This window comes from Homo sapiens, chromosome 18 (genome assembly GCF_000001405.40).
Source record: "Homo sapiens chromosome 18, GRCh38.p14 Primary Assembly".
In the NCBI taxonomy this organism is placed as follows: Eukaryota; Metazoa; Chordata; class Mammalia; order Primates; family Hominidae; genus Homo; species Homo sapiens.
In genome coordinates, this window is record NC_000018.10 from 23,113,934 (window position 1) to 23,126,848 (window position 12,915).

The 12,915-nt window shown below is 46.3% G+C and overlaps 2 annotated features.

Annotated features, from left to right (window-relative positions):
* Positions 7,194–7,693: an enhancer, noted in NCBI's record as "H3K4me1 hESC enhancer chr18:20701091-20701590 (GRCh37/hg19 assembly coordinates)". NCBI's record gives its function as "activates a minimal SCP1, AML or CMV promoter by ChIP-STARR-seq in primed H9 embryonic stem cells {active_cell/tissue: H9 hESC(primed)}" and the evidence as "EXISTENCE:reporter gene assay evidence [ECO:0000049][PMID:30033119]".
* Positions 8,557–9,108: an enhancer, noted in NCBI's record as "NANOG hESC enhancer chr18:20702454-20703005 (GRCh37/hg19 assembly coordinates)". NCBI's record gives its function as "activates a minimal SCP1, AML or CMV promoter by ChIP-STARR-seq in naive H9 embryonic stem cells {active_cell/tissue: H9 hESC(naive)}" and the evidence as "EXISTENCE:reporter gene assay evidence [ECO:0000049][PMID:30033119]".

The following is a 12,915-nucleotide window of genomic DNA, read 5'->3' on the forward strand; positions in this document are numbered from 1 at the left end:
AACTCTAAAAAAAACCTTAACACCCAAACAGTAGCATCTGGACATAAATTTAACTAGATTTCAGAGTTTTCTCTAAGAATAGTTGGTGAATGTTGCTTTACGTCTTGGAGAATTTCCTAAACTAAGAGAGTCCAAAGATAAGGATTATTTCACTTCCAGGAAACAAAACTGCCATTTAGGTCCCTAAATGGCAGATCCCAGGTAACAGTACAAAACAAGTCTCTCTTTACAAAGCCCCTGCTATTGTAGTTAAAATAAACAGTCCATGTGTTAGAGTTGGAAATTCTATTGTTATATAGATATCTTGCTGAAATGGGTTCTGACCCCTACAAAGAGTTCTCAAGAATGAAACACGTGATGTTCCTTTAATGTTGTTTTTGCTCATGCAAATGACATCCTATTACACCCACGGATGCTTAACTACTAAGTTAAAACAACTACATGGCAATTTTGATCACTCCAGAGTCCCCTCACTGTTTTGTGGTTTTATGTAATTCGCATATTGTGTACAAAAAGACTTGACCTGGAGCCGGCAGCAAGAAATGTGTAATTAGAAACACTTCCCGAGGAAATTAGGTGACAAGTGAAGGCTTGAGGATTTCCGAGGGAGCCTGGAGCTGCAGATATTCATTATGGGTACTTAAGAGGCACAGCTGCCTCTGCTGAAAACCATGTCAAATGCCGTCCGCTGGATGCCAGCGTGGAGGCCAGCCCAGAGCCAGAGATGGTGGCTATGGCAACACGCTACTCCATTTTTAAACTTTTCATTACCTAAAAGGAAATTGCTTAGGCTGTTTTTCTTTTTTTCCTTTTTCTCCCTACCAATTTCAGAGTTTGTACCAGCAGTGAATAGCCTCCAGGTCTAACATTTCCTGGGTAATGAGTGACTAGCTGGGTGAAGTGCTTTTGGCCTTACCTCCAGCCTTGGCAACTCCAGCCAGTTATTAATTGCTGCACCGGGAAACACTTTCCAATCAAGCTATTATTTAATCAAAATAAAAGAAAACGAACTATTATTGCTGTCAACAGCAATGAGCAACTCTCCGCAGGAGTCTAAATGGGAACTGTGGAGGTTTTCACTGGAAGAAGTGTTCCTCTGGGGGTCAGATAAGCAGGGCAACGTGAAGTTGCGTGGAGTACCCTTGGGAACTGGTTCTTGTGGGAGGAGAGAATGTTGAACCAGCAGGAAGACGCAGAGAGATTACACACACCCTGTCCTAGATCTCAGTCATTCATGGTCAGTTAACCTGTAACCTTGCTGTTAAGCCAGTGCCCCAAATGCTTCTGTGGGAGTGTCTGCAGGGGAAAAGACAGTCCATAGAAGCATTTGGGCTGCTTCTATAAGCAATAAATAGTAAAACCTGTAACCACCATAATAACCACACTTCCTGAGTACCCCCAATGTGCCAGGCAGGCACTGTGCCCCCAGGTTTATACTCAGATCTCAAGAGTTCCCCACATTGCCACTGTGGGGAGAGTATAGTCACGATCCCTCTTTCACAGGGACACTGAGTCCGAGAGAGATGAACTTGGCCAAGACCCACCACACCCTGGTGTGAATAGCAGAGCCGGGGCTTGACTTCTAGTCTCTGCATCGAGCAGTTGCTTTTTTTTTTTCTTTAAGTGACAATATAAACATAACATAAAAGTGACCATCTTAACCATTTTTAAGTGGATAGTTCTGTGGCAGTAAGTACATTGACATTGTATGCAACTATCACCACCAACCATCTCTAGAACTTTTTCATATCCCCAGCTGAAACTCTGTACCCATTAAACACTAACTCCTCATTCCCTCCTTCCCCAAGCCCCTGGCAACCACTATTCTGTCTCTAACAGCGTGATGATTCCATGGACCTCACATGAGTGAATCATACACTATTTGTCCTTTGGTGACTGGCTTGTTTCACTGAGCGTAACGTCCTCAGGGTTCATCCACGTTGTAGTATGAGTCAGAATTGCCTTCCTACTTAAGGCTGAATTACATTCCATCGTTTGTATACACCACATTTTGTTTATCCATTCATCTATGGATGGACATTTGGGTTGTGCCCATGTTTTGGCTGTTGTGAATCATGCTGCTATGTTTACTTCTTCTTTTTTTTTTTTTTTTTTGAGATGGAGTTTTGCCCTTGTTATCCAGGCTGGAGTGCAGTGGCATGATCTTGGCTCATTGCAAGCTCTGCCTTCTGGGCTCCAGCGATTCTCCTGACTCAGCCTCCCGAGTAGCTGGGATTACAGATGCCCACCATCACACCCAGCTAATTGTTTGTATTTTTAGTAAAGGCGGGATTTCATCATGTTGGCCAGGCTGATCTTGAACTCCTGACTTCAGGTAATCCACCTGCCTCGGCCTCCCAAAGTGCTGGGATTACGGGTGTGAGCCACCGTGCCCGGCCGCTACGTTTAACTCTTAACCTCTAAGATTCATTGCCCCTGGGAGTAGTTGCTCTTCAAGGATAACACATGGCTCAGGGACTGCCTGTCACACCCCAACCTGAGAATCAGCAGAGACTACCACGGGGCCCATCAGGCCACTAGGCAGGTGCCACTCCCCTGGCAGGGAGAGAGGTGCCGGTGGCCACCGACCTCATAGGGTTCCACAGCTCCACACTGGCATGTTGCGGGAGGAATTTCAGTGTTCAATCCCAGGCTGTTTCTCTGAGTCTTAGGTTCTGGGATAAACAAGCTCCTTCAAGTCCAAACTGCTCAGATTAGACTTTACTGATAGATTCCACACCTGGAATCCTGCTCCGGGACTGCAGTCTCATCCTCCAGCTCCTGCAGGCTTCTTCTAAGCTGGTGGGTCTCAGCAGGGATGGGGGTGAGTGGTACTCCACACCCAGGGGACACCACCCACAGGAAGCTTTGTGGACATGTGAAGGGCATATGTGGTTGTCATAATGGTTGGGGGACACTGTTAATATTTATGTGAGGCCAGGGACTCAGGTGACCTGCAGTGTGTGAGGCAGTCACCCACAACAAAGAATTGTCCTGCATCCTGAACCAATTTCAAACAACCCATTAACATTTGTCTCCTAAGCTGTGTGACCTAAGTGCCACCTGCCTCCCCGGTTCCTCTCCCTCCCCTCTCATGCTTAAAGATAAGCCATTTTTGGGCCGGGCACGGTGGCTCACGCCGGTAATCTCAACACTTTGGGTGGCCGAGGCAGGCGGATCACAAGGTCAGGAGTTTGAGACCAGCCTGATCAATATTGTGAAACCCCATCTCTACTAAAAATACAAAAATTAGCCAGGCATGATGGCAGGTGCCTGTAATTCTAGCTATTCAGGAGGCTGAGGCAGGAGAATCGCTTTAACCCAGGAGGTGGAGGTTGCAGTGAGCCGAGATCATGCCATTGCACTCCAGCCTGGGCAACAGAGTGAGATCCCGTCTCAAAAAAAAAAATGCCTACTGTTTTCTCTGCCTAAAATGCCTACTTTTCCCTTTTGTCCAGTATGTGAGGGTTTGTCTTTCTTTCTTTCTTTCCTTCCTTCCTTCCTTTCTTTCTTTCCTTTTTTTTTTTTTTTTCAGACAGAGTCTCATTCTGTCACCCAGGCTAGTGCAGTGGCGTGATTTCGGCTCACTCTAACCTCTGCCTCCCAGGTGCAAGCGATTCCCGTCTCAGCCTCCTGACTAGCTGGGATTACAGGCACGCACCACCATGCCCAGCTAATTTTTGTATTTTTAGTAGAGACGGGGTTTCACCATGTTGGCCTGGCTGGTCTTGAACTTCTGACCTCAGGTGATCCACCCACCTCGGCCTCCCAAAATGCTGGGATTACAGGCATGAGTCACTGTGCCCCGTGGGATTTGTTCTTTAAGGCTCAGATTAAATGTACCTATGTACGAGACTTCCCCAGAACTTCCCAGTAGCATGTGTCAGTCCCTAAATGGGACCTCGTAGCTCTTGGTATGTTCATGCATTTCAGAAATACTTTCTTCTTTCTGAGTACCTACTATGTGCCAGGCACTAGGGTAGGCTAAGAATTTAAAGATGAATAAGACAGAGTCCTTGTCCTCAAGGAATTCCCAGGAAAGTCAGAGACAGACAGCGATCACCATGCAAGGCAACAAATGCCAAAGAGAGGAGGACTGCAGTGTGGGAGCCGTGGAGCCACGAAGAAGCCCTGGGACTCTTGGAAGACTCCACTGGGAAGAGGTGGTTTAAACTGGGTTTTGAAGAATCGAGAAGGAGAATCAGCCAAAGAAATGTGCCAAGATGCCAAGCTGAGATAATTCCATAGGGCTACAGTGTAAGAGACAGATCCAGGAAGGTGGGTCCAGGAAGGTGGCAGGGCCACATCCTGACAAGCCACTGCTGTTAATGATGAAGAGCAGGGAGCCTGTGCAGCCTTGGATTTCATGGGATAATGCCTCCTAAGGCCCTGCTTGGGACATTAGGCACTCACCCAGCCTCCTGCCCATGCCAATGGAGCAGGGGTTCCCTCCAAGTCCTGTCCCGGAATGGTTCTGTTCCCAGGGAGGATAGGAACTCGAATTTGTGGAGCAGCTACTTGATGTGCCAAACATTTGTGTTCTCTTCAGCAAGAGGATACTTGCTGGTGTGCCTGGGAGACTGTCCCAGGATAAATGGGGAGTGTCTTTCTAGAATGTTAATTGCACTCAAAGATTGGGGAGGGAAAATCAATTAGTGTAAATGGTAAATAACTTAAAACATTATTTTTACATCACATCAATAGTGGATATATTATGGAGCAGAATGCTAAAGTAACACACATTTTTCTTAATTTCATTTATCATTTGGAAAGGTAACACGAGCTCATGATACAAAATTCAAAACATGTAAGAGTTTAGAATAGGCCGGGTGTGGTGGCTCATGCCTGTAATCCCAGCACTTTGGGAGGCCGAGGCGGGCGGATCATGAGGTCAGGAGTTCAAGACCAGCCTGGGCAACATAGTGAAATCCCATCTCTACTAAAAATACAAAAATTAGCTGGGCGTGGTGGCACGTGCCTGTAGTCCCAGCTACTTGGGAGGCTGAAGCAGGAGAATTGCTTGAACCCGGGAGGCGGAGGTTGCAGTGAGCCAAGACCGGGCCATTGCGCTCCAGCCTGGGGACAGAGTGAGACTCCACTTCAGAAAAAAAAAAAAAAAAAAAAAAGTTTAGAATGAAAATTTACATTTCGGCTGGCTGGGCACAGAGGCTCACCCTTGTAATCCCAGCATTTTGGGAGGCCAAGGCAGGAGGATCACTTGAGGTCAGGAGTTCAAGACCAGCCTGGCCAACATGGCGAAACCCCGTCTCTACTAAAAATACAAAAATTAGCTGTGTGTGGTGGCACACGCCTGTAATCCTAGCTATTCTGGAGGCTGAGGCAGGAGAATCGCTTGAACCCGGGAGGCAGAGGTTGCAGGGAGTCGAGATTGAGCCACTGCACTCCAGCCTGGGAGAAAGAGCGAGACTCCGTCACACACACACACACACACACACACACACACACACACACACACACACAATTTACATTTCTGTTCTCCAGCCACCCAGCTTCACTCCCCAGAGGCAACCACTATTTCTACTTTCTTGGGTACCCTCCAAGAGATACTCTATATATAGTCTAAGTAAATACCTATGTATGTGGGGTTTTTTTAAATGCAAATGATAACATGAAATACGCACTACTCCACAGATTGCTGTTTTCAGATGACACTACATCTTGGAGATCTTTCCATAACACATTCATAGATTATTCCAGCCAGGCACAGTGGCAGGTGCCTGCAATCCCAGCTACTTGGAAGGCCGAGATGGGAGGATCAGTTGAGCTTAGGAAATTGAGGCTGCAGTGAACTCAGGAGTTCAAGTCCAACACGGGCAACATAGTGAGACTGCACAATATTTCATTGTATGAATCTGTCAGAATTTGTTAACCAGCCCTATGATGACCATTTCCAATGTCTTCCTATTACTAATGACACTACAACAAATATGATCCCGAATGTTCTTCATTTTTATGTGCTAGTATATGTGCAGGGTAAATTCCTAGAAGTGGGTCACAAGATATACCATATCGTCCGTTTGCCATCTGAAGAGATCTTCCATACTATACCATCTCAGCTGGTCTTTCCTTGCCTCTTGTTTGTTTTCTTTTGAGATGAAGTCTCGCTCTGTCGCCCAGGCTGGAGTGCAATGGCATGCTCTCGGCTCAATGCAACCTCTACCTGCCAGGTTCAAGGGATTCTCCTACCTCAGCCTCCCGAGTAGCTGGGATTACAGGTGCCCGCCGTCACACCCGGCTAATTTTTTTGTATTTTTAGTAGAGATGGGGGGTTTCACCATGTAGGTCAGAATGGTCTCGAACTCCTGACCTCAGGTAATCCGCCCGCCTTGACCTCCCAAAGTGCTGGGATTACAGGTGTGAGCTACTGTGCCCAGCCTTCCTTGCCTCTTAAGTCTATACACAGTAAACAATAGTTTTTTTCCCAATCTTTCTGACCTTTGCCAATCTGATGGGTGAAAGCTGTATCTCATTAGAGTTTATTTGCTCTTCCTGTATTACGAAAGAGGTGGAGTCTCTCTTTTATATTCAAGGGGTCTTTGTATTTCACATTCCGGGAACTGACCCTTCATATCATTCACCCATTTTTCTATTGTATTATTGGCTTTTTCTTATCAATATTTAGGATTTCTTTAAATATTAAGGGAAGACATTTTTGTGATATGAATTGCAAATTCTTCCCACCCATAATATTTGTCTTTTGATTTTGTTTTTCTGCCCCATATAATTATTTGTAATTTTTTCTTTTTGTAGCTGAATTTACTTTTGTTTTTCTGGCTTCTGAGTTCTATGTTATACTTAGAAAGGCTGCTTCTTTATCTGAAGTGATTAAAAAATATTCTAATTAATTCATTCCATCGAAAGTTTACTAAGCCCTGACTCTATGCCAAGCACTGTCTGGGTGCTGGGATTGCCAGGCTGAACAAAACAAACCATGAGTACATGTTTTGAGGGTTTTTTGTTTGTTTGTTTGTTTGTTTGTTTTTTGAGACGGAGTCTCACTCTGTCACCAGGCTGGAGTGCAGAGGCACAATTTCGGCTCACTGCAACCTCTGCCTCCCGGGTTCAAGCAATTCTCCTGCCTCAGCCTCCCGAGTAGCTGGGACTACAGGCACACGCCGCCACGCCTGGCTATTTTTTTTTTTTTTTTTTGTATTTTAGTAGAGATGAGGTTTCACCATGTTGCCCAAACTGGTCTCGAACTCCTGAGCTCAGGCAATCTGCCCGCCTTGGTCTCCCAAAGTGCTAGGATTACAGGCATGAACCACCGCACCCGGCCGACCCCTGTTGTTTTATCTGCCCCCACAGCTCCCTTCTGAGAATTCCCCACCACACACCATCCATCTGCTTCCCAGCGGGAATACCTGTTAGCTGAGACCCCGCCCACTTACGGGTCCAGGGCCTGCTCAACACAGACTTTACCAATCACAGCCTTTCTTTGTAAATCTGAAAAAGAAACCAAGAGGGTCCAATGTCTGTCAATTACAAAGGTGGGAATCCATCAGGGGCCACACTTCCTGCCCCATGGGCCAGAGAAGCAGAGGAACCTAACCTGCAGAGGGAGCCTGATTTAGGCATAGGGAGAAAGTCGGGGGACAAGAAAAAGAGAGTTCCCAGGTGTCCACGTCCGTGTTTGTCAGGTGTGCCGGGGCTCAGGCTGTGTACTCCCATCTCTGTGTTCCTTGAGACCCTCCTACATCCTTGAGTTCTCCTGAAGCTTTCACTTCGGTTTCTGTCACCTGCAATCAGAGTCCTAGAAAGTAGCTGAGATGCCCCTCATCCTGGAATGATATGTCTCTGATGCCTTCTCTCTCTCTCTTTTAAATTTTTTGAGACTGAGTCTCACTCTGACACCCAGGCTGGAGTGCAGTGATGTGATCTCGGCTCGCTGCAACCTCCACCTCCCAGGTTCAAGTGATTTTCCTGCCTCAGCCTCTCGAGTAGCTGGGACTACAGGCACATGCCACCACCACTCCCGGTTGATTTTTGTATTTTTAGTAGAGACGGAGTTTCACCATGTTGCCCAGGCTGGTCTCAAACTCCTGACCTCAAGTGATCTGCCTGCCTCGGCCTCCCAAAGTGCTGGGATTACAGGTGTGAGCCACCATGTTCAGCCTCCAAAGTCTTCTCTTAGGTGTATCACAAAAGTGGGCCAGGATGCTGGTTCAGCAGCTGAATGGTGTCCCAGAGGGCAAAGGGAGTGTGATTATGGACAAGGTCTGGGGCTCCAGGGGCTGGCATTCTCAGCCACTCACTGTTGGAAGTTATGTGTCACCAAACTGGAAGACTGTGTCAGTACAAACTCAAAGCCTGCTTCTCTTTCAATCTGATAAATACAAGTGAAATTGTGATTTTTACAAAATGAGGACTTCTTACCCTCTTCACTGGGCGCCCACGTGTAAGGGTGTAGAACAGGAATTCGGGCCCAAATTTAGCCAGCGTTTTACCCTCAAATCTGTTCTTTCCTCCCTAGGGTGCTTTTGGTTTTTTCAGGAATTACAGCTGCCCCCTAGACTGGAGATCTGGAAATCAGTTTTTCCTCATAATGTCTCTGGTACTTGACCCTTCTTTTCCATTTTCTCTGCCAAGTCCAAGTTTTATTGTCTCGGGCCTGAATTGTTGTAATAGAGTCCTAAGTTAATGCCTCTGCACGGCCTGAAATGCCGTTTCACATGTAAACTAGAATCTAAATTCAAATATTGCCCTCTCCGTGGGGCTTCTTTGTCCCCAGGAGTCACCGTCCATAGTCACTAACATCTCAGATGTTAACTATCCAGGGATCAGCCATGTGACCTGAGGCTTAACTCCACGGAGTTCAGTTTCTTTATCTGTCAGATGGAATAAACAGCAGGGTTGTGGTGAGAGTTCAATGAAACTGTGTAGACAGAAATGACCACTTGCTGGGCATGATGGCTCATGCCTGTAATCCCAGCATTTTGGGAGGCCCAGGTGGGAGGATAGCTTGAAGCCAGGAGTTCAAGGTCAGCCTGGGTCACCAGCTTGGGTCAAGATTAGCAAGACCCTTGTCTCTACAAAAAAGTTTAAAACTAGCCAGGCACGGGGCACAGTGGCTCACACCTGTAATCCCAGCACTTTGGAGGCAGAGGCAGGCAGATCACTTGAGGTCAGGAGTTCAAGGCCAGCCTGGCTAACGTGGTAAAACCTCATCTCTACTAAAAATACAAAAATTAGCTGGGCGTGGTGGCGGGCACCTGTGATCCCAGCTACTCAGGAGGCTGAGGCAGGAGAATCGCTTGAACCCAGGAGGCAGAGGTTGCTGGGAGCCGAGATTGCACCACTGCACTCCAGCCTGCGTGACAGAGTGAGACCCTGTCTCAAAAAAAAAAAAAAAAAAGTTAGCTGGGCATGGTGGCGGGTGCCTGTAATCCCACCTACTCAGGAGACTGAGGCAAGAGAATTGCTTGAACTTGGGAGGCAGAGGTTGTAGTGAGCCAATATTGCACAACGCCACTGCACTCCAGCCTGGGTGACAGAGCGAGACTCCATCTCAAAAAAATAAAAAAATAAAACTAGCCAGGCATGGTGATGAACACCTGTAGTCTCAGTTATTTGGGAGGCTAAGGCAGAAGGATCACTTGAGCCCAGGAGTTGGAGGCTGCACTGAGCCATGATCACACCACTGTACTCCAACCTGGGCAACAGAACAAGATCCTGTCTCTAAAAGAAAAAAAAGAAATGATCATTTCAGGGCTTGCACATAAATGGTAACCCACCGTTGTCCCCTTTGTTCACTTTGTCTTATTTTCTCAGCAGGCTGTTAACTCTTTGAAACCCGGAACCTTGCCTTGCCCTTAGTGCCTAGCAGAGAGCATGGCACAGAGTAGGCACTCAATGAATGTCAGATGAATAAATACATAAATGGAGGAATGAATCAGAAAAACCTTTTCCACTCCTTTAGACTTTCTCCTCAATCCTTTATGCACATTTGCCAAACTAATGCCTCTTCATTTTGACTTTCGACAAACATGTTAACTTCTTGTTTAAAAATCATCTATGCTTCTCTAGTACCTATAGGTTCAACTTTTAAATTTTAGATTCAAGGCCCTGGTAATCTGGCCCGAGATACAGTTTTTCGACTAATCTCCTGTTATTCATCACTACAATCCTTTTAATCTAATTGTCCTGGCAGGTCCATTCATTATTGTCAGCTACCTCCAAAAAGCCCTTTCCCTTTTTTTTTTTTTTTTTTTTTTGAGATGTAGTCTCACTTTATCACCCAGGCTAGAGTGCAATGGCGCATTCCTGGCTCACTGCAACCTCTGCCTCCCGGGTTCAAGCAATTTTCCTGCCTCATCCTCCTGAGTAGCTGGGATTACAGGCATGCACCACCACACCCAGCTAATTTTTGTATTTTTAGTAGAGACAGGGTTTCACCATGTTGGCCAAGCTGGTCTCGAACTCCTGACCTCGTGATCTGCCCGCCTTGGCCTCCCAAAGTGCTGGGATTACAGACATGAGCCACCATGCCCCACCCTTTTTTTTTTTTTTAAAGACAGGATCTCACTCTGTCACCCAGACTGTAATGCAGTGGTAAAATCATGGCTCACTGCAGCCTCAAACTCCTGGGCTTCATTGATTCTCCTGCATCAGCCTCCAGTGTAGCTGGGACTATAGGTAAGTGCCACAATTACACCCAGCTAATTTTTTCAATTTTTCTTTTTTAGAGACAGGGGTCTCACTCTGTTGCCCAGGCTGGTCTCGAACTCCTGGCCTCAAGTGATCCTCCCACCTCATCCTCCCAAAGTGCTAGGATTACAGGTGTAAGCCACTGTGCCCAGCCCCTTTTCCTTTCTCATCCCTATCTTCGCACCAGCATTCATCCTCAGGCCCCCTGCCAAGGGCATTTTCCTTCTCCTCTCTTCCCAGCCACGTCCTACCGTCCGTGGCAGAGAAAGCTAGTTATCTCCCAATATTCCTAAAGAAATGGAAAAAAAGTCCCCAATAATTCTACCACGTAACATCTGGACATATTTTCTTCCAAGATTTATTTCTATACATTTAAAATAAAATTTCAAAAAGTGTTAACTGGGAAGCAGTTCCTATCATGACCATGCACGTATTTCTATTTAGATAAACAAAAAGAAGCAAATAAAAATCACCATAACCCTACTAGCCAGTGTTTTTTTTGTTTGTTTGTTTTGTTTTTGAGAGGGAGTCTCACTCTGTCGCCCAGGCTGGAGTGCGGTGGCGCGATCTCAGCTCACTGCCAGCTCCATCTCCCGGGTTCACGCCATTCTCCCACCTCAGCCTCCCGAGTAGCTGGGACTACAGGCGCCCGCCACCACACCCGGCTAATTTTTTGCATTTTAGTAGAGACCGGGTTTCATGGTGTTAGCCAGGATGGTCTTGATCTCCTGACCTTGTGATCTGCCCGCCTCGGCTTCCCAAAGTGTTGGGATTACACACTCATGAGCCACCGCGCTCGGCCTAGCCAGTGTTTTAACCTTTTGGTTATATATAGCCTTTCAACACATAGGAGTATTTAGAACAATTTCATTCTTCTTCTTTTTTATTTTTTTTACAAAGTTGAGATACTGTGATCAACCTAGTTTCTATTCTATTTGGTTAGCATTGTTTCAAAAACATTTTTCACATCATTAAGAAAGCTTGGTAAAAATGATTTTTTTTTTTTTTTGAGATGGAGTCTCACTTCTTTGCCCAGGCTGGAGTGCAATGGTGCAATCTTGGCTCACTGCAACCTCCGCCTCCCGGGTTCAAGCAATTCTCCTGCTTCAGCCTCCCCAGTAGCTGGGATTACAGGCATGCGCCACCATGCCCAGCTATTTTTGTACTTTTAGTGGAGACGGGGTTTCACCCTGTTGGCCAGGCTGGTCTCAAACAAGTGATCCACCTGCCTCGGCCTCCCAAAGTGCTGGGATTACAAGCATGAGCCACTGCGCCCGGCCAAAAATGATTATATTTAATGGAAACACAATATCCCATTGTTTGAGTAAACCATAATTATCTTTTCACTGTTCCACATTTAGGGTCTCTTTTTTCAAGTTTTCTTTATTTTAAACAATGCTGCAATGAATGCTTGTGCATAAATCTTTGATCTTGTTTCTCAATAGCTCCTTAGAATTTTTAATCACATTTCTTGAGTACTCACCATGTTCTAAGCATTTTTTTTTTTTTTTGGAGACAGGGTCTTGCTCTGTTGGCCAGGCTGGAGTACAGTGGTGCGACCATAGCTCACTGCCATCTTGAACCCCTGGCCCCAAGCAATCCTCCCACCTCAGCCTCCCAAAGTTCCGAGATTACAAATATGAGGCACTGTGCCCGGCCTCCAAGCATTTTTTTTTTAATGTTACTGCAATAAATTTTTATAACACTGCTATCAGGGAGGTATTATCATTCCCATTGCACAGATGACAAAACTGAAGCACAAATAAGTAGAGGAACATGCTGAAAGTGCTCAAAGCCATGAGAGTGGGGCCAAAATGTAACCTGGTTCAGTCTGCCTCCAAAGCTGATGCTGTCAATCATGAACTTTTCGAGGCTCCTGACACATATTGCCAAATGACTTCCTGGAATGGTTGTTCCGATTTACGCTACACCAACAGTATAAGAACGCCCATCACTCTCACTTCTCCTAGTGATTGCCAGGCATTTGCTCTCACCTTCTATGAGTTGTCTCTTCCTGTAGTTTGCTCATCTACGTGGGCAGCGAAGGTCACCATGGCCCACTAACTAGTCCAGCTGAACTGCCCAGTGGCAGGCAAAGTGGTGATGTTTCCCCCAGAACCTGGCCACATCCATCCCACTCTGATGTGAGAATATCTAAACAAATGCAATCACTATAAAACAGTGCTGTTATACTGGGAGACAGAGAGCCCTGTAGGCGGGACTGCCTCCTGCCCTGCCTGTCTGTGCAGA